Source organism: Homo sapiens, chromosome 1 (genome assembly GCF_000001405.40).
Source record: "Homo sapiens chromosome 1, GRCh38.p14 Primary Assembly".
Classification (NCBI taxonomy): Eukaryota; Metazoa; Chordata; class Mammalia; order Primates; family Hominidae; genus Homo; species Homo sapiens.
This window is the reverse complement of record NC_000001.11, coordinates 673,184-694,719: the sequence shown is the minus strand read 5'-3', so window position 1 is coordinate 694,719 and position 21,536 is coordinate 673,184. Positions and strand designations below refer to the sequence as shown.

The window sequence follows — 21,536 nt, the reverse complement described above, 5'->3', positions numbered from 1 at the left end:
GATAATAAATAATTTGTTTGAGATTATGTGGCTCTAACAACACCTGCTTCACAGTGTAATTATGAGGATTTCATAGAATTTGTATAGTGAGCATTAGTTTTGATGTTACTTTAAACCTCTTTGCCTTATACATTCTATTTTTTCCATGGAACATTATATGATTTCATGTCCACATATTAATCTCATACTTTCAATTACATTTTATGTTTAAATTGAATATTATGGTAATCGTTATGTAAATGATTAAAAATTTAAAGGGACAACATTTAATGTTGCTCTGGAATTCACCTTTAGTCATAAAATAAAGATTTAAAGTATCATCTGTAGACAATGGCAAAAGCCCTTTTTTGTCATAAGAAAATCAAATATGCTTTATTTCACCCAATTAACATGGCTATCCCGGGAAAACCAAAATGACCATAGGCGGTAATTCCCCAGGCCGTGTGATCTCAGTCTGGCATTCTCGGATCTCCAAGGCATCACTTTGGCCACTACCCTCTGGGGCTGTGATTAGCAGCTCTCTTCCTGTTTTATGCAGCTCTGTGTGTATGTCTGCAGTGATGCCGTACTGGATCTGGTTCATCTTGTGAGAACTATACCTATCTGAATTTTTGATGATGCTCTTTTCTTAGTTCCCTTGGCAAAACAGGTAGGTGAGGGATAGAAATAAAATCTATACTTAGTAAATCGGTGAGCCAAGGTCTGTGACTGGCAATGAGTGAATTACATTCTCCTCAGTTGGGTGCAATGTCTGCCTTCTGTGTGGCCATTTGCTGTTGCCACTAGAGAAGGAGGATGCAGCAGGGATCAGGCACCGTGGAGAAAAGTCGCCGTGTGTAGGCAGCTAAGAATGTAGGAAAATGAACATCTCGGCTCCCAAAGGACGAGAATAAAGCTGTAGAAGAATGTCAGGGAGGAATCTGAGTTGATCGTATGACTATTCATCCTTCTTCCCACATTTTCCCGACTGTTTAGCCCTACTTTTCTTCGCGTTGGGTCTCATTTTCCTTCCTGTGTGGCCTGTGCCTTATGGTCAGCGCGGACGTCCATCAGTCTATCAAATGCCTAGAAACCTTTCGCCCTTTGTCACCTTCTGTGTCACCCAGCATTCCCCTTCTCAGCCCTTTTCATTCTCATGGTGGAATCCTTTTGGTTTGATTTCAAGGGTCCAGCACTGTTGATGTCACAACAGAGTGGCATGGAAAGTTTCTGAAAATTTTGTCATCTAACCTCTCGTGGGGACTTTTAATTAATTCAGCTTTTGACAACTCCATCACATTCATTATATTATCCATTCATTCATTCATTAATACATTTGACATTTATAATGTGTGCCAACAATGTGCCAGGTCAAAACTGCCCACTTACAATGTAGAACATTTCTGTAAATTTTATTTCAATTTTCTTGTATTTCTTCTCCTTTATTCTACCATCCCACTTGATCTTCTGCCACAGAAGTTCTCTTCTCTCTCTCTTTGTTCTCTCTTCTCCTCCTTTATTCTTGATACCTGCTTCTGTGTTGGCTCCTCGAGGCCAGCACTTGTCCTCCTACCTCTGTGATGTTCTGTCTAGTTTATTGATTCCTTTTCCTACTTTACATAATCAATGTGGATAGTTTCTATAGTTGGGTCTTTGCTTTTTAATCTTTTTTTCCTGTGTATTATTTCCTTCAGGGACCTTATGCACTCTTACACATCCGTCTATTATTTTTATATGGATTACTATACAATTACATGTTGAATTTGTACTTTTCCCCCATATATCCTGTCATATGTTTTCACCTGAGCATCTCAATATCTAATACTCTTATTTGCTTAAAATACACGTGATTATTTTCTCCACCCTGACATATTTTATGTTCAACTTTCTAATTTCTAAAAATGGACCTACCATTGTCCTATTTATTCTTGCTTAAATCTTGATATTTTCTTTGAGTTCATGCTCCTTCGTATTCACTCCAGCTGTGATAAGTCACCAATCCTTTGGGTTTTTACTTACCAGTATTTCTATTTCTGTTTCTATAGCCTTAAAGCTGGAACTGTGTAGTCCCAGTTCCTCTGTGTAGCCCCCCAAGTCTGCTCTATTTCAATCTTCTCTTAAGGGAACTCCTTCCCTCCGTTTTTCTTTTCCTCCATTTGATACATCACACTTATAGATGGGGCATCTTCCCTAATTACTGGCTTCATCCTCAATTCCCGGGACCCATACCTTCACTGGCTTCCTAAATTTATTTAATAATTCTCATATACCTTTGAGAAGTTTCTAATGATAGGCAACAAATGAATATTGACTACCTTTCTTATTTTCCTTTATTCACCAAAATGATTTTTAGGATGTAGACAATCTGTATGCTTCAACATACACCAAACTTACCATTTTTGAAATATTTTACAATCTACTTGAAAAGACTTCTTTAGACCCTATATTCATGTATTGTAATATTTATCCTCTTTTATGGCTATACTCAAATGCCACATCACTATAGTGCCTTCCCTCATCACTGTAGCTATCTCTTTTCACTCTACTTATATTGTAGAGGATTTGTTACACTTCTTGAACTGCTGATCTCAAGCGATTTGCTTGCTTTGGCCTCCCAAAGTGCTGGGCTGACAGGCGTGAGCCACTGCACCTGGCCTGATTTGTTCCACTTCTACTGTATGCATCACACATGCCTGATGCATATTTTAATGCACGTTGGATAAGGATCGGCTTTGTACGACTTCAGTCTTTCTTGATGTGTGACACCCACTTCTATTTTGGCTCCACTTTAACAAAATGAATAAGTGAGAAGGTAATACTGGAAACAGAACATAACTGTGACTAGGAATTTGGTCTTGACTCGCCATTTAATTTTCTGATGTGCATGACTGTTTTCTTCACATGTGAAATTTAACATGAGGTTGAAACTGGAGAATTTTATATTTTTCATGAAAAAGGCAATTTGGGAGAAAAGTCCATTTTCCTGAGGATAAGGTATTGTATGGTTTGACTGCTTTGCCTTGGCTGGTCAACACATTTGTACACCTGGATAGGCACAGTTTTCAGAAATCCTTTCAAGCATCTACCAATTCTCCTGTCTACAAGTTTACCTTCCTCCCATTTCTCATTCCTAATGACAAGGGAAATATCCAGTGTTATCTGAAGTGGTCATAAAAGACATTTTTTTTCTTTTTATGTGAGGAATTGAAACTTATGGCTTTAGATTATGGGGCTTACCATCAAGGAAAGGGCGTAGCGTGGTCAGAGGACAAAACTTCTTCCTGCATTTCTCAGGAAGTCTTTGATTAGTGTGTCCACCTAGGAGCAATTTTTTTTGGGGGGGGCACTGGGAAATATACTTAAGTGATTAAATCCAAGTGTAGACATGAGAGCTTTACCTAAAGCCAGGTCTAATTACCATACCTGAGAATCAGGGAGTATTTAAAATTTGAGAAATAATTTTCTATACTTGAAAGTCACTTATGTAGGTAGGCCTCAGATTATAATAAATAACATTTATTGTGCTATACTATGTGGTAGGCATGAGGTTAAGTATTTTTACCTATATTATATCACTTATTTCTTACAAATGGAGCAAGGGAGCAAGCAAACAAGGGAGGTATTATTATCCCTATTTTATGTATTTATGTATTTATTTTTGATTTCTATTCTTTTGGTTTTTTTGTTGTTTTTTATTGATGTATCATAGTTGTACATGTTTTGGGGTACATGTGATATTTTTGATACATGTATACAATGTGTAATGATCAAATCAGAGTAATTTGGATATTCATCACCTTGAATATTTATCTTTTCTTTGTGTTGGGAACATTATAATTTTTCTCTGCTAGCTATTTTAGAATATATAATAAATTATTGTTCCCTACGATTTCTCCATTGTATAATTGAATACTAAAATTTATTATGTCTATCTACATATCCCCAGTTCAATAACTATAATTTCTCTGCTGTGCAATCAAATACTAGAACTTCTTCCTTCGAACGCTATATCCCTAATTCAATAACAAGTAAACTGAAGCTCAGCATGGTCTAGGAACTTTGTTACGTTAACACAGCAAGTGAGTGTTGCAGCCTGGATCCAAAAATCAGGCCTGGTCGACCTCAAAGTCCAGATTATTGACCTTTCTACCATAATGTATGGAGGTAAGTTTGTGAATTTATTCAAAAATCAGGCCTGGTCAACCTCAAAGTCCAAATTATTAACCTTTCTACCATAATGTATGGAGCTAAGTTTGTGAATTTTCATAGTTTTAGGATTTGAAGATAAAAGAGGTGAAAATTTGGAAATGGTTTCTGGACTTTTGAATTTTGGCAAACAGCTATGTGATAAGTCCACCCTGCAGACCCACAACTTTTGGAAATAACTCTACTGTGATCTTCAGTAGCAGAAGCTGCTCCTGGGGTGGTAGAACACAAGGAAAACACACACTAGTAAAAATTTCATGTGCCTTCTTTGTTCTGTACATGTGTTTCTCTTGATTAGTATATGGTAGTATCCTCAAATCATAGTAACAAGTATACTTTTTCCAGTGAATTGCATGTGTATATTATTGTATAGTATAAAAGGCAATATTTCCATTTATTATCATCTGTGCTTTTCAAAGAAACTCTGTGAGTCCAACAGGGCGATAATAGAAGCAACTGCCCTTTCTCTCCCCCTTTAAATGCAACCCAATGTCACAGTCCGTAGCATCCCCAGATGAGTGTATTAAAGGTGAGAAATTCCCAAAGTCAAACTCAGTAGCATCCTTGAATGAGTGTATTAAAGGTGATAAATTTATTTTATTTATGTTCTTTTTAACCTGTGTTCTCAGAAACAGAGACTACTGTATTTCATCCTACCTTAGTCTTGCTTAGCAGTTTCTCTTCTCCTTTGAGGCTCTTTTATTTTTAAATCATTGTTCATATCTTCTAATCTCCCCTTTCTCCCATTCTTCCCATATTTTTAATCTTTTTTTAACTTTATCTCTGTTCTACTTTTTCTGTATTTCAAATTGATCCATAGACTTTAGAAAAATGAGTTGAATGCTGGCTGTAGGCTGTCTTATCCCCAGCAAGAAACATGTTGTAAAGTCTTAGTACCTTCCCACTGGAAGATCATTAGTCATGGCTACTATGTTTTTAAATGAGAATTGTTTTAATTATGCATTTTAAAATTATTGGAAAACATGAGGGAGAGGAATGAACCATAAGTAATAAAGATTATTGACTTGAAGTTAAGACCTTACTATGATCTGGGATTATTAGTCTTACTTGTCAATCAAGAACTATCCACTTTCTATTCGTTTGTGGGTATCTAATATGGTTATATACACAGAAGTAATGATAATTGATATGAAAAGGTCTCCTCCTGTTATATCAATTTAGGTATTTTTCACACATTGTATACCTCATTCTTCTCCTATTCAATTTTCACTAATTCCTAAAGGGTCAGGTCAATGTCCTTGGCATAACCTCCTCCACCTGTTCTTAATGGCAATCGTCTCTTCTGCCCTCCAATATCTATAACACTTTTTTCTTTAAAACTCTTTGAATGTTTATCTTAATACTCATTTGATATATATTGTATACCACATATGATTGTTTGTTATATGTACAATACATGTTTTTTCAACTTTTTTTGGTTCTTTCTATTTACAGGAATTAGAGAAAGAACAAATCAGTGTGAAGGAGAATTGTCAGTAAAATTACAAGAAAAGATTGAGATCATAATTGACCTTTGAGGATAATAAAATTTAAAGACCAAAAGGATGGACTTCACAGAAACATGACCTTAGGTTGTTTTTGCAGTTGTAGTAACTGGTTATATGACCAACAAAATATGAAGAATGGGTACAAATTCTGATAGTAATGATCAGTCACTTTGCAAATATAAAGTTACTATTTACTACTGTATTGTACAGGTTCAATAATCTTTGTGTACACATTTTATGTATTTATTGTCAGGCTGCTATATAATTCAGTATTTATAATAGATACTATGTATAGCAATCTATGGTTAGTTTTGGTCTTAACCAGGAAAAATCACTCTTTTGAGTTTTGCTGTTTTTACTAGATTATTTTTACTGGATGATTGCTCATATTATTTGATTATTATTGCAATTTGTCTTTCTGGAATAGGAAGCAAGAGGCCTGAATTCTGGTTCCTATTCTATCAATTGTGTGAATTCTGGAAACTCAGTTTACTTTTCTGGGCCTCATGGTTTTCATCTGAATGATGACCAACTTGGATAAAATGGTCTTTATATAATTTCGTAGGCATTTCCCTTCCCAAGGGCTTGAGTCTTTTTCAACAATTATAGAGTTTTCCGGTCCCTCTTCCCAGTGCCTCAGCACCTTGCTATTCATGTTCATCTGATCAGTTGTTTGCATGCTGACTTACATTACCCTGATGGGCAGTACCTGTGGCTGTTTCTGCTCCCTCACCCAGTCCATAGGCTTCTGGTTGTAAAAAGTGTGCATCTTGAGACTGTGGACAGTTAGCTCCAGAGGTGACAGTATAATCACTTCACGTAGAAGAGGATAGAGAGAGACTCATGCCAGTGGTGGTGAGCAAGTATTAGAGATATGATGTGTGCCTCTGTGAGTTTTGGGGTCTAAGATAAATTATGGCACTAGGAAGATGGTCCTTTGTGTCAGAAGAACTGGAGTTGTTGGTGCAAAAAAGTATGATGTCAGCATAGCAGTTTTATTTGTACCTCAGCAACTTCTAAAATAATCTCTATTAAGTGTTTTCAGGAACTACTTTCTACTATAGGAAAATGATTGAGGTGAGTATCCATCTGGACACAGAGAAATATAACACTGTTTTCTGCTCACCCTCCACTTCACATATAAATACAATATGTGTTAAAGGACTAAATTTCTAGTGTCACAGTTTGTACTTTATAGTTTGAAGTCAATAAGAAAGCTCATATACCTTCCTAAAAGTCACTTGTTAATGTTTGATATTAATCTAATTTTATCATAAATTAAAAGTATAAAACTACAAATTTCTTAAAGATAAAATATCCGAATGGATTCAGTCAAATTAAGCATGATAATATCAAATATCAGAATAGGTTACCATGCAGGAGGTACTGAGTACTTAAAAGGGTGGGGAATGCAATGAACATAAAAGCTGGTACCAAGGGGAGGAGGAGACAGTGATGAATTAAAACATTATCTTAACTAATCCAAGTGCTGGTCTTCAATACTTTCATGTGTATAGACAAAGAGAAACTGCAGAGATTTCTCACAACCTCTGTGGCCATTTTATGCATGTATCTTAGCAGAAACACTGGTGAAATCCCTCCAAAACATATTTATTAGGCATGGAAAAAGCCTTACATGACAGGTGGCATAGGCTCCTTATGAAATCATTGCAGGATGGGAAGCCATTTAGGGCTTCGTAATTGTGAAAGATTGTATAGAAACTGAGGCACTTAAATAGCAGTAAGCATGAGAAAATGTGGTAGATAATGGTGGTGATTCTATTTCTTGTGAAAGTCCACTTACTCTAGTCTGCTACAGTTGTGGGCTTTCCGATTTCACATACCCCAGTCTCTATATTCTCTCAATCCACAGCCTACCTCAACTAAGTCTGTCCCAGGCACCTCTTACTGCAGTGATAATCCATCTGTTAATCATGTTTTCCTCTTATGTCTACTTTCTGTCAGAGAATTGTGGGTGCAAACTGGGAAGGGAAGGAAATTATAAGAATATGTATAAGTACAAATGGAATATGTTGGAAATGAGGAATAGTTAATATCACAGGTCATTTAAACACCTGATGAATTTCATGGATAGTCAGGAATCTTGTTCTTACCTAATCTGTTAATTTTAGATCAGACATTACACTGAAAGTATTGATGATGGGTTTAAATCAGGTTGCAGCTCACATGTTGTGATAATATTATGTTGATTTTTTGTTTTTAATATGTGAGGAACAGAATAACTGTATACTATTTATTCATAGTGACATTGCAATATTGATTTTAGTACATATTATTATCTTCATAATCACAATTTCCTCCCCATTTTCTTAGTTCTCATAATTTTAGCCACAGCCCAGTTGGCTGGACCAATGGATGGAGAGAATCACTCAGTGGTATCTGAGTTTTTGTTTCTGGGACTCACTCATTCATGGGAGATCCAGCTCCTCCTCCTAGTGTTTTCCTCTGTGCTCTATGTGGCAAGCATTACTGGAAACATCCTCATTGTGTTTTCTGTGACCACTGACCCTCACTTACACTCCCCCATGTACTTTCTACTGGCCAGTCTCTCCTTCATTGACTTAGGAGCCTGCTCTGTCACTTCTCCCAAGATGATTTATGACCTGTTCAGAAAGCGCAAAGTCATCTCCTTTGGAGGCTGCATCGCTCAAATCTTCTTCATCCACGTCGTTGGTGGTGTGGAGATGGTGCTGCTCATAGCCATGGCCTTTGACAGATATGTGGCCCTATGTAAGCCCCTCCACTATCTGACCATTATGAGCCCAAGAATGTGCCTTTCATTTCTGGCTGTTGCCTGGACCCTTGGTGTCAGTCACTCCCTGTTCCAACTGGCATTTCTTGTTAATTTAGCCTTCTGTGGCCCTAATGTGTTGGACAGCTTCTACTGTGACCTTCCTCGGCTTCTCAGACTAGCCTGTACCGACACCTACAGATTGCAGTTCATGGTCACTGTTAACAGTGGGTTTATCTGTGTGGGTACTTTCTTCATACTTCTAATCTCCTACGTCTTCATCCTGTTTACTGTTTGGAAACATTCCTCAGGTGGTTCATCCAAGGCCCTTTCCACTCTTTCAGCTCACAGCACAGTGGTCCTTTTGTTCTTTGGTCCACCCATGTTTGTGTATACACGGCCACACCCTAATTCACAGATGGACAAGTTTCTGGCTATTTTTGATGCAGTTCTCACTCCTTTTCTGAATCCAGTTGTCTATACATTCAGGAATAAGGAGATGAAGGCAGCAATAAAGAGAGTATGCAAACAGCTAGTGATTTACAAGAGGATCTCATAAATGATATAATAAGCCCTTCTCATTAAACATGATATGGCTTTATGTTTCTTTCTTTGATATTTTAGATTCAGGAACTATGAGACATTATGTATTGATTTGAATGTTATTAGACCTGTAACATAATTCTTATCTGATGAATATATGATGAATATATTCCTTGTTCAAAATGAGTCATAAATTCAACACATCTCTACATCTATATTATGCCCATTTAATTTCTTTCAGCAATGTTTTGTAGTTTTTGGTGAACAGGTACTTTATGCATATGTACTTTATATTTATCTCTAAGTTTTATATTTCTGATGCCCTTTTAAGTGACATTTTTATTTCAATTTACAATTGTTTATTCTTAGCTTATGGGCACATAATAGATCTTTGTTTGACATTATATCCTGTAAACTTGCAAAACTTATAAGTTCCATCAGTTTTTTATAGGTTATGTAGGATTTTCTTTATAGATGATTATGTTGTCAGTGAATAAAGACATTTGCTTTTAAAATTCTAGTATGAATTCACTATATTCATTTTGTTGAATGCTGAGTAGAATTAGTTAGAGTAGACATCTTTGACTTGTTCCTGTTATGAAATATATTAAATATTTCATCATTAAGTATAATGTTAGCTATAATTTTTTTCATAGGTACTCTTTAACAGGCTGAGAAAGTTTTCTGTATTCACAGTTTGCTGAAAATTTCTTTTATCTTTAGTCAGGAATGGATCTTGGATTTTGTAAAGCTTTTTCGTTTCAGAATCAGGGTAATGCTGGCCCTTTAGAATGAGTTGGGAAGCATCTGCTCTTCTTAAATTTTCTGCCATAATTTTGTAGAATTCATATAATTTTTTTCTTTAAAAAGGGAAGTACTTAAGTATTTTTTCCCATAAGTTACCCATAAGTAAATCTAAAGGAAAGTGGGAAACTTTGATACGCATTGGTTGCCCCCTGGTGGAGATTTCTGGGTTCTTGATTATTTTAACACTGGAGATAGAATCTGGTGGAATGACGTCAATGCTACCGTGATTAAGAGGTGTGTAGGAAATGCTTCATGTAAAAGAGAAAATAGTCTTTATGAGAATCTGCCTGGTGGAAAGGAGTTGGTGCAACAATAACAATATAAATTAGTGAAAAATTTTAAATTGACAAATAATAATTGTATCTATTTATGGGGTACAATGTAATGTTTTGATACATGTTTAAATTGTGGAAAGATTAGGTCTATCTTATTGACATACATATCTTTTTTGTGGTGAAAACATTTAAAATCTACTCTGTTAGTCATTTTGAAACATACAATACCTTGTTATTTATTACAGTCACCATTCTGTGCAATAGTTCACTGAAACTTTGTCTAACTGAAACTTTGAACCCTTTTATCAACATCTACCTTTTCCATGTCTACCCCCAACTACTAGCCTCTGATAATCACCATTCCATTCTCTACTTCTATGAATTCAACTTTTTTAGATTCCACATATCAGTGAGATCATGTGATATTTGTCTTTTCGTGCCTGGCTTATTTCACTTAGCGTGATATCTTCTGGGTTAATTCATGTTGTCACATATATCAGGTTTTCCTTCCTATTAAGGCTGAGTAGTATTCCATTGTATATATACACTACATTTTCTTCATCCATTTGTCAGTTGATAGACACCTGTGTTGATTTCATATTTGGGTATTGTGAATAATGCTGCAATGAACATGAGCCTGGAGATATCTCTTCAGCATATTGACTTAAATTCCTTTGGATATATACAAGGAAGTGGGATTGCTGGATCATATAGTAATTCTAGTTTTAGTTTTTTGAGTAACTTTTATCTATTTTTCATAATAGTATTAATTTACATTTCCACCAACAGTGTACGAGGGTTCCCTTTTCTCTGTATCCTCTTCAACACTTGTTATCTTTTATCATTTTGATAGTAGCCATTCTAACAGGTATGAAGTGGCATCTCACTGTCATTTTAATTTGCATTTCCCTGATAATTAGGATGACAAACTTTTTTTATGTTAGTCATTTGTATTTTTTTTGAGAAATGTCTATTTAGGACCTTGCCCATTTTTTGACTTGGTTATTTGTTTTCTTGATATTGAGTTGAGTCCCTTATATATTTGGAGATTAGCCTTTCATCAGATGTATGCTCTGCAAATATTTTCTCACAACTTGTAGGTTGTCTCTTCACCATATTGTTTCCTTTGCTGTGCAGAAGCTTTTTAGTTTGATGCAATCCCATATATTTTTGCTTTTGTTGCCTGTGCTTTGGGGGTGATATCCAAGAAATCTTTGACCAAACCAACATTGTGGAACTTTTCCCCTATGTTTTCATCTAGTAGTTTTACAGTTTTATGTTTAAACCTTTAATCCATTTTGAATTGATTTTTGTGTATGGTGTGAGATAAGGATACACACCATACACATTCGTGTTCTTCTGCATGTGGATATCTAGTTTTCTTAACACCATTTATTGAAACAAATGTCTATTCTTCATTACGTTTTCTGGGCACCTTTGTCAAAAATTTATTGGTCATAAATGCATGAGTTTATTTCTGGGCTCCTTATTCTGTTCCCCTGGTCAATGTGTCTGTTTTTGTGCAAGTGTCATATTGTTTTGATTACTATGGTTTTGTGATACGTACTTGTTTTGGGGGGGATCGATTTTTATTTGGGTTTCTCACAGTGGTTAGAGAACAACCACAGCACAGGAAATGCCTCACCAAGATTGCCCAGAAAACTGACCAGCTGCATCTTATTGCTTAAAAATACACATATTCACAATAACTGACAAATGGTGATGTGCCTCACACAGGAATGTGTTCACATTTGCAATGCTGTGTACAGACTTCACTTCGTTCAACATAGATTTTGGTTTAATGGAATTCAAATGCGGATGCTTGTTCACAGCCTTGGATTTGTCTGTTTTTGGAGAGATACAACCTCCATGAGTATATCTGCATGAAAACCACAGACAATGAAGGTATTTCTTCATTGATTTATTTATTCTTTTGACTGTAGTAACAAACCCTGGATGACACCCTTCCTTTTAATTCACCTGGAAACCAGACTCAATCAAATCTCCCTGGTCCCCTCACTATTCCTTCAAATTCCCTATTTCTATCTCTTCCTGAGGAGGGTAACCTCCTGTAGCAGGGGTCAGACTGTGACTTGGGAATCAAGCTTAGGTCTGCAGGTTGCCTGTTCATCTTCTTGTAAAATATTGTAGGACACTGCAGTGAATCCAACAGTTAACACTCAGAGCAGTTCCCTGCTCTAACTCAGGAAAGAGACTTCAGAGGGTCAGGATTCATCCATTTGATCAGTTAACTGAGAAGGATTCATTTTGGTAAAACTTGTTCAGCTTTGAGACACTTCAGTGAGTTGTTTGAGATTTTTTTTTAAATTATATTTTAAGTTCTGGGGTACATATGCAGAACATGCAGGATTGTTACATAGGTATACACGTGCCATGGTGGTTTGCTGCACCCATCAACCCATCATCTACATTAGGTATTTAACCCAATGCTAACCTTCCCCCAGCCCCTACCCCCAGACAGGCCCCGGTGTGTTGTGTTCCCCTCCCTCTGTCCATGTGTTCTCATTGTTCAACTCTCATTTATGAGTGAGAACATCGGGTGTTTGGTTTTCTGTTCTTGGATTAGTTTGCTGAGAATGATGGTTTCCAGCTTAATCCATGTCCCTGAAAAGGATATGAACTCATCCTTCTTTATGGCTGCATAGTATTCCATGGTGTATATATGCCACATTTTCTTTATGCAGTCTATCACTGAATGGGCATTTTGGTTGGTTCCAAGTCTTTGCTATTGTGAACAGTGCCACAATAAACATATGTGTGCATGTGTCTTTATAGTAGAATGATTTATAATCCTTTGGATATATACCCAGTAATGCAATTACTGGGTCAAATCATATTTCTAGTTCTAGAACCTTGAGGAATCACCACACTGTCTTCCACAATGGTTGAACTAATTTACACTCCCACCAACAGTGTAAAAGCATTCTTATTTCTCCACATCCTTTCCAGCATCTGTTGTTTCCTGACTTTTTAATGATCGCCATTCTATCTGGCGTGAGATGGTATCTCATTGTGGTATTGATATGCATTTCTCTGATGACCAGTGATGATGAGCTTTTTTTCATATGTTTGTTGGCTGCATAAATGTCTTCTTTAGAGAAATGTCAGTTCATATCCTTCACCCACTGATGGGTTTGTTTGTTATTTTCTTGTAAATTGTTTAAGTTCTTTGTAGATTCTGGATATTAGCCCTTTGTCAGATGGATAGATTGCAAAAATTTTCACCCATTCTGTAGGTTGCCTGTTCACTCTGATGATAGTTTCTTTTGCTGTGCAGGAGCTCTTTAGTTTAATTAGATCCCATTTGTCAATTTTGGCTTTTGTTGCCATTGCTTTTGGTGTTTTAGTCATGAAGTTTTTGTCCATGCCTATGTACTGAATGGTATTGCCTAGGTTTTCTTCTAGGGTTTTTTATGGTTTTAGATCTTATGTTTAAGTCTTTAATACATCGTGAGTTAATTTTTGTGTAAAGTGTAAGAAAGGGATCCAGTTTCAGTTTTCTGCATATGGCTAGCCGGTTTTCCCAACACCATTTATTAAAAAGGGAATCGTTTCCCCATTGCTTGTTTTTGTCAGGTTTGTCAAAGATCAGATAGTTGTAGATGTGTGGTGTTATTTCTGAGGCCTCTGTTCTGTTCCATTGGTCTACATATCTGTTTTGGTACCAGTACCATGCTGTTTTGGTTACTGAAGACTTGTAGTATAGTTCGAAGTCAGACAGCGTGATGCCTCCAGATTTGTTCTACTTGCTTAGGACTGTCCTAGCTCTGCGGGCTCATTTTTGGTTCCATATGAAATTTAAAGTAGTTTTTTCCAATTCTGTGAACAAAGTCAGTGGTAGCTTGATGGGGATAGCATTGAGTCTATAAAAACTTTGGGCAGTATGTCCATTTTCATGATATTGATTCTTCCTATCCATGAGCATGGAATGTTTTTCCATTTGTTTGTGTCCTCTCTTATTTCCTTGAGCAGTGGTTTGTAGTTCTCCTTGAAGAGGTCCTTCACATCCCTTGTAAGTTGGATTCCTAGGTATTTTATTCTCTTAGTAGCAATTGTGAATGGGAGAGTTCACTCATGATTTGGCTCTCTGTTTGTCTGTTTTTTGCATATAGGAATGCTTGATTTTTGCACATTGATTTTGTATCCTGAGACTTTTCTGAAGTTGCTTATTAGCTTAAGAAGATTTTGGGCTGAGACCATGGGGTTTTCTAAATACACAATCATGTCATCTGCAAACAGAGACAATTTCTTTCTCTTGCCTGATTGCCCTGGCCAGAACTTCCAATACTACGTTGAATAGGAGTGGTGAGATAGGGCATCCTTGTCTTGTGCTGGTTTTCAAAGGGAATGCTTCCAGTTTTTCACCATTCAGTATTGGCTGTGGGTTTTTCATAAATAGGTATTATTATTTTGAGATATGTTCCATCAGTACCTAGTTTATTGAGAGTTTTTAGCATGAAGGGCTGTTGAATTTTTTCGAAGGCCTTTTCTGCATCTATTGAGAGAAGCATGTGGTTTTTGCCATTGGTTCTATTTATATGATGAATTATGTTTATTGATTTGCGTATGTTGAACTAGCCTTGTATCCCAGGGATGAAGCTGACTTGATTGTGGTGGACAAGCTTTTGATATGCTGCTGGATTTGGTTTGCCAGTATTTTATTGAGGATTTTTGCATCGATGTTCATCAGGGATATTGGCTTGAAATTTTCTTTTTTTTTGTTGTGTCTCTGCCAAATTTTGGTACCAGAATTATTCTGGCCTCATAAAATGAGTTAGGGAGGATTCCCTCTTTTTCTGTTGTTTGGAATAGTTTCAGAAGGAATGGTACCAGCTCCTCTTTGTACCTCTGGTAGAATTCGGCTGTGAATCCATCTGGTCCTGGACTGTTTTTTGGTTGGTAGGCTATTAATTCTGCCACAATTTCAGACCTTGTTATTGGTCTATTCAGGGATTCAACTTCTTCCTGGTTTAGTCTTGGGAGGGTGTATGTGTCCAGGAATTTGTCCATTTCTTCTAGATTTTCTAGTTTGTGTAGAGGTGTTTATAGTATTCTCTGATAGTAGTTTGTATTTCTGTGGGATCAGTGGTGGTATCTCCTTTATCATTTTTTATTGCATCTGTTTGATTCTTCTCTGTTTTCTTCTTTATGAGTCTGGCTAGTGGTCTATCTATTTTATTGATATTTTCAAAAAACCAGCTCCTGGATTCATTGATTTTTTTTGAAGGTTTTTTTGTGTCTCTATCTCCTTCAGTTCTGCTCTGATCTTAGTTATTTATTGTCCTCTGCTAGCTTTTTGTATGCTCCTGCCTCTTGAGTTCTTCTAATTGAGATGTTAGGGTGTCAATTTTAGATCTTTCCTGCTTTCTCTTGTGGGCATTTAGTGCTATAAATTTCCCTCTACACACTGCTATAATTGTGTACCAGAGATTCTGGTATGTTATGTCTTTGTTCTCATTGGTTTCAAATAACTTATTTATTTCTGCCTTAATATCTTTATTTACCCAGTAGTTGTTCAGGAGCAGGTTGTTCAGTTTACATGTAGTTGTGTGGGTTTGAGTCAGTTTCTTAATCCTGAGTTCTAATTTAATTGCACTGCGATCTGAGAGACTGTTATGATTCCCATTTTTTTTTGCATTTGCTGAGGAGTGTTTTACTTCCAAATATGTGGTCAATTTTAGAATAAGTGCAATGTGGTGCTGAGAAGAATGTATATTCTGTTGATTTGGGGTGGAGAGTTCTGTAGCTGTCTATTGGATCCACTTGGTCCAGAGCTGAGTTCAAGTCCTGGATATCCTTGTTAACTTTCTGTTTCGTTGATCTGTCTAGTATTGACAGTGGGATGTTAAAGTCTCCCACTATTATTGTGTGAGGGTCTAAGTCTCTTTTTAAGTCTCTAAGAGCTTACTTTATGCATCTGGGTGCTCCTGTATTGGGTGCATATATATTTAGGATAATTAGCTCTTCTTGTTGCATTGATCCTTTTACCATTATGCAATGCCCTTATTTGTCTCTTTTGATCTTTGTTGGTTTAAAGTCTGTTTTATCAGAGACTAGGATTGCGACCCCTGCTTTTTTTTGCCTTCCATTTGCTTGGTAAGTATTCCTCCATCCCTTTATTTTGAGCCTATTTGTGTCTTTGCACGTGAGATGGGTCTCCTGAATACAGAACACTGATGGGTCTTGACTCTTTAGCCAATTTGCCAGTCTGTGTTTTTTAATTGGAGCATTTAGCCCATTTACATTTAAGGTTGATATTGTTATGTGTGAATTTGATCCTGTCATTACGATGCTAGCTGGTTATTTTGCTGTTAGTTAATGCAGTTTCTTCATAGTGTCAATTGTCTTTACAATTTGGTATGTTTTTGCAGTGGCTGATACCAGTTGTTCCTTTCCATGTTTAGTGCTTCCTTCAGGAGCTCCTTTAAGGCAGGCCTGGTGGTGACAAAATCTCTCAGCATTTGCTTGTCTGTAAAGATTTTATTTCTCCTTCACTTATGAAGCTTAGTTTGGCTGGATATGAAATCCTGGGTGGAAAATTCTTTTCTTTAAGAATGTTGAATATTGGCCCCCATTCTCTTCTGGCTTGTAGAATTTCTGCTGATAGATCTGCTGTTAGTCTGATGGGCTTCCCTTTGTGGGTAACCTGACCTTTCTCTCTGGCTGCCCTTAACATTTTTTCCTTCATTTCAACCTTGCTCAATCTGATGACTATGTGTCTTGGGGTTGCTTTTCTTGAGGAGTGTCTTTGTGATGTTCTCCGTATTTCTGAATTTGAATATTGGCCTGCCTTGCTAGGTTAGGGAAGTTCTCCTGGATAATATCCTGAAGAGTGTTTTCTAACTTGGTTCCATTCTCCCCATCACTTTCAGGTACAGCAATCAAATGTAGATTTGGTCGTTTCACATAGTCCCATATTTCTTGGAGGCTTTGTTCATTTCTTTTCATTCTTTTTTCTCTAATCTTGTCTTCTTGATTTATTTCATTAAGTTGATATTCAGTCTCTGATATCTTTCTTCCGCTTGATCGAATCAGTGCTTGATCCTTGTGCATGCTGCATGAAGTTCTCATGGCATGTTTTTCAGCTCCATCAGGTCATTTATGTTCTTCTCTAAACTGGTTATTCTAGTTAGCAATTGGTCTAGCCTTTTTTCCAGGTCCTTAGCTTCCTTACATTGGGTTAGGACATGCTCCTTTAGCTTGGAGGAGTTTGTTATTACCTACCTTCTGAAACCTACTTCTCTCAATTCATCAAACTCATTCTCCATCCAGTTTTCTTTTGTTCCCTTGCTGGTGAGGAGTTGTGATCCTTTGGAGGAGAAGAGGCGTTCTGGTTTTTGGAATTTTCAGCCTTTTTGCTCTGGTTTCTCTCCATCTTCATGGATTTATCTACCTGTGGTTTCTGATGTTGGTAACCTTCTGATGAGGTCACTGAGTGGCTGTCCTTTTTGTTGATGTTGATGCTATTCCTTTTTGTTTGTTAGTTTTCCTTCTAACAGTCAGGCCCCTCTGCTGCAGGTCTGTTGGTGTTTGCCCTAGGTCTACTCTAGACCCTGTTTGCCTGGGCATCACCAGCGGAGGCTGGAGAACAGCAAAGATTGCTGCCTGTTTCTTCCTCTGGAAGTTTTGTCCAAGAGGGGCACCCACCAGATGCCAGCCAGAGCTCTCCTGTATGAGGTGCCTGTTGGCACCTACTGGGAGGTGTCTCCCAGTCAGGATACACGGGGGTTAGGGACCCACTTGAGGAGGCAGTCTGACCCTTATCAGAGCTCGAATACTGTGCAGGGAGATCTGCTGCTCTCTTCAGAGCCATCAGGCTTTTCAAAGATGCTTTAAGTCTGCTGAAGCTGTGCCCACAGGCGCCCTTTCCCCTAGGTGGTCTGTTCCAGGGAGATGGGGGTTTTATCTATAGGTCTCTGACTGGGGCTGCTGCCCTTTTTTCAGAGATGCCTTGCCCAGAGAGGAGAAATCTAGAGAGGCAGTCTGGCTGCTGTGGCCTTGCTGAGTTGTGGTGGGCTCCACCCAGTTCAAACTTTCTGGTGGCTTTGTTTACACTGTGGGGGTAAAACTGCCTACTCAAGCCTTGGCAATGTGGAAGCCCCTCCCGCCACCAAGCTCGAGTGTCCTAGGTCAACCTCAGACTGCTGTGCAAGAATTTCAAGCCAGTGGATCTTAGCTTGCTGGGCTCTGTATGGGTGGGACCCGCCGAGCCAGACCACTTGGCTCCCTGGCTTCAGCCCCCTTTCCAGGAGAGAGAATGGTTCTGTCTTGTTGGCATTCCAGTTGCCATTGTGGCATGAAAAAAAAAAAAAAACTCCTGCAGCTAGCTCGGTGTCTGCCCAAACAGCTGCCTAGTTTTGTGCTTGAAACCTAGGGCCTTGGTGGCAGAGGCACTGGAGGGAATCTCCTGGTCTGTGGATTGTGAAGACCGTGAGAAAAGCATAGTTTCTGGGTGGAGTGCACCGTTCCTCATGGTACAGTCCCTCGGGGCTTCCCTTGGCTAGGGGAGGGAATTCCCCCAACCCCTTGCACTTCCCGGGTGAGGCGACACCCCATTCTGCTTTGGCTCACCCTCCGTGCGCTGCACCCACTGTCCAACCAGTCCCAGTGAGATGAACCAGGTACCTCAGTTGGAAATGCAGAAATCACCTGCATTCTGCATTGATCTCACTGGGAGCTGCAGACTGGAGCTGTTCCTATTTGGCCATGTTGCCAGCAAATTCTGAGATTTTTTTTAAAAGTGCAAAGAAAGACATCTGAGGGGTGCTGACATATTCGGGTCACCTCAAGCCACATGCCAGCTTGCTTGCCCCTGTTGGATTCAGCAGAGGGAGATAGGCCTTGCCATACCTGTGGTGTCTGCCAAAGCTTCCTCCTGGCAATTCTTGGGAGTGCTGATACCTGGGCCACAGTTAGTCCAAGTTTATCACTGAAGATCCTATCAAAGTTTTGTCTGAAATTCCACTTTTGCCTTTTGTCCTAAGTGGTTGTGGACATCTCCAGGGGCTGATACCAAGGACTAGGAACAGCTGAGGGAGGCAGAAAGGTTCAGAGTACATCTCTATTTACAGGGAACAGAACACCGGCCTCTGAGAGTCCATGGAGCAATGGGAAAATTGCAGTGATTACTCATCACTGTGAAACTTCTACTTTGAATACAGTATCTTCTGGCAAGCATAGGGGACTGCAGTCGACAATGCTGCTGAATATACCTGAGTACATAGTAAGACATTTGTTTGGTAAACAGTCAATGCATACAATAAATTACCTTGAGAGGGCCATCTGTGCTCCAGATGTGAGAGTTCATGTGAATAGAATGGCCGCAATTCAAAGAATCTTCACAGGAAAACAGGGCTCAGAGCTCATCCACAATGGACAGACAGGGAGGGAAACAGGTGGAGGTTAGTTCACCACTTCCTCATAAGAAGGTAATAAATAGTTTGGTGAAATAAAATGGTAGCACTGAGTAATTGCGGGCTTCTGGATAGGCAGGCAGGTTGATTTCATGTTGCTACTGCTGGACTTGAGGGCTGGCTTGGCTGTGGTGGCAGACACAGCAGCAGCTCAGGATGATGGTGATGGTCCACGCGAGCCAGAACCACCAATGTTCATAGTAGTAGTTACAACACTGAGACTGCCCATAGCAGTGTCCTGTTGTGTCACAGATGTAGCTTTGATTGTTGGTACACACACAGGCTTCCTTATCCTGTGGGGGTTCAGCCCTGGCTGACACAGGGCTGGGCAGTGCCTAGAGGTGCAAGAGCTCCATGCCACCCAGGAGTCTTCCCTCCATACTCCTGCTCCTCCGACCCAGCGCGGGCACCTCCCTCCACCCTTGCTGCACTTCTCCTCTACCCTCTTCTTCCTTCTTTTGTTCTTTTCCTGTAATACGTTTTGAAGTCAGATTGTGAGGCCTTCAGCTTTGTTCTTATTGCTCAAGAGTGCTTTAGTTATTCAGGGTCCTTTGTGGTTCCATATAAATTTTCAAATTGTTTTTTCTATTTCTGTGAAGAATGACATTGAAATTTTGATAAATGTTGCATTAAACCTATAAATCGCTTTGGGCAGTAAGGACATTTTAAGAATATTAATTCTTCCTACCCATGAACATAAAATATCTTTCCATGTATTTGTGTCATCTACAATTTTTCATCAATGTTTTATAGTGTTCAGAATACAGATCTTTCACCTCCTTGGTTAAATGTACTCCTAAGTACAATCCTAAATGTGCTCCTAAACAAAAAAAATACAGTTTTTTTGATGCTACTGTGAATGAGATTGATTTCTTTATTTTTGTCATATAGTTTGTTGTGAGTGTAAAGAAACTACTGAGTTTTGTACATTGATTTTGAATTCTGCAATTTTATTGAATTCATTTATCATTTCTAATAGCTTTTTGGTGGAGTTTTTAGGGTTTCCTATATATAATATGTCATCAAACAGAGACAATTTTACTTCTTCCTTTTCAATTTGAATATCTTTTATTTCTTTATTTGGCTTAATTGCTCTGGCTAGGACTTCCAGAAATAAGTTGAATAGAAGTAGTGAGAATAAATATCCTTGTCTTGTTCTTGATCTTAGCAGAAAAGATTTCACTTTTTCATTGTTGGGTATGATGTGAGCTGTGAGCTTGTTATATATGTCCTGTTTTGTGTTAAGGTACATGCCTTCTACGCCCAATTTGTTGAGAGGTTTTGTCATGAGAGGATTTTGAATTTAGTCAAATGCTTTTTCTGCATATATAGAGATAGCTATTTTTTTATCCTTCATTCTGTTAATGTGGTTTATCACATTTGATTTGTGTTTGCTGAAACATCTGGAGGATAAATCCACTTTATCATGGTAAATGTTCTCCTAATATGTTGTTAAATTCTGTTTGCTAGTACTTATTTTGAGGACTTTTGTATCTATGTTCATCAGGGATATTGGTTGGCCCATACTTTTCTTATAGTGTCCTTGTTTGCCTTTTTATTTTTATTTTTATTTATTTATTTTTTAAATTATACTTTAAGTTTTAGGGTACATGTGCACAACGTGCAGGTTAGTTACATATGTATACATGTGCCATGCTGGTGTGCTGCACCCATTAACTCATCATTTAACATTAGGTGTATCTCCTAATGCTATCCCTCCCCCCTCCCCCCACCCCACAACAGGCCCCAGTGCTAATATCTGGAATCTACAATGAACCCAAACAAATTTACAAGAAAAAAACAAACAACCCCATCAAAAAGTGGGCAAAGGATATGAACAGACACTTCTCAAAAGAAGACATCTATGCAGCCAAAAAACACATGAAAAAATGCTCATCATCACTGGCCATCAGAGAAGTGCAAATCAAAACCACAATGAGATACCATCTCACACCAGTTAGAATGGCCATCATTAAAAAGTCAGGAAACAACAGGTGCTGGAGAGGATGTGGAGAAATAGGAACATTTTTAC

The 21,536-nt window shown here is 38.1% G+C and overlaps 1 protein-coding gene and 1 pseudogene across 5 annotated transcripts in view; one reads left to right on the top strand and one right to left on the bottom strand.

Annotated features, from left to right (window-relative positions):
- The window catches only part of OR4F16 (olfactory receptor family 4 subfamily F member 16), a 44,026-nt gene extending 25,382 nt beyond the window's left edge, over positions 1–18,644 (top strand). For 3 of the 5 annotated variants that reach the window (XM_024449992.2, XM_017002410.2, XM_047431162.1), the window contains exon 2: positions 5,641–18,644. In XM_024449992.2, the coding sequence (XP_024305760.1) occupies positions 8,066–9,004 (939 nt within the window). In that variant the 5' untranslated portion in view covers positions 5,641–8,065 and the 3' untranslated portion in view covers positions 9,005–18,644. Of the gene's footprint in view, positions 1–3,925; positions 4,144–5,640 lie in introns of those variants that run through there. The other 2 variants (XM_017002408.2, NM_001005277.1) reach the window with 2 other exon arrangements.
- Positions 19,474–19,977, bottom strand: WBP1LP6 (WBP1L pseudogene 6; annotated as a pseudogene).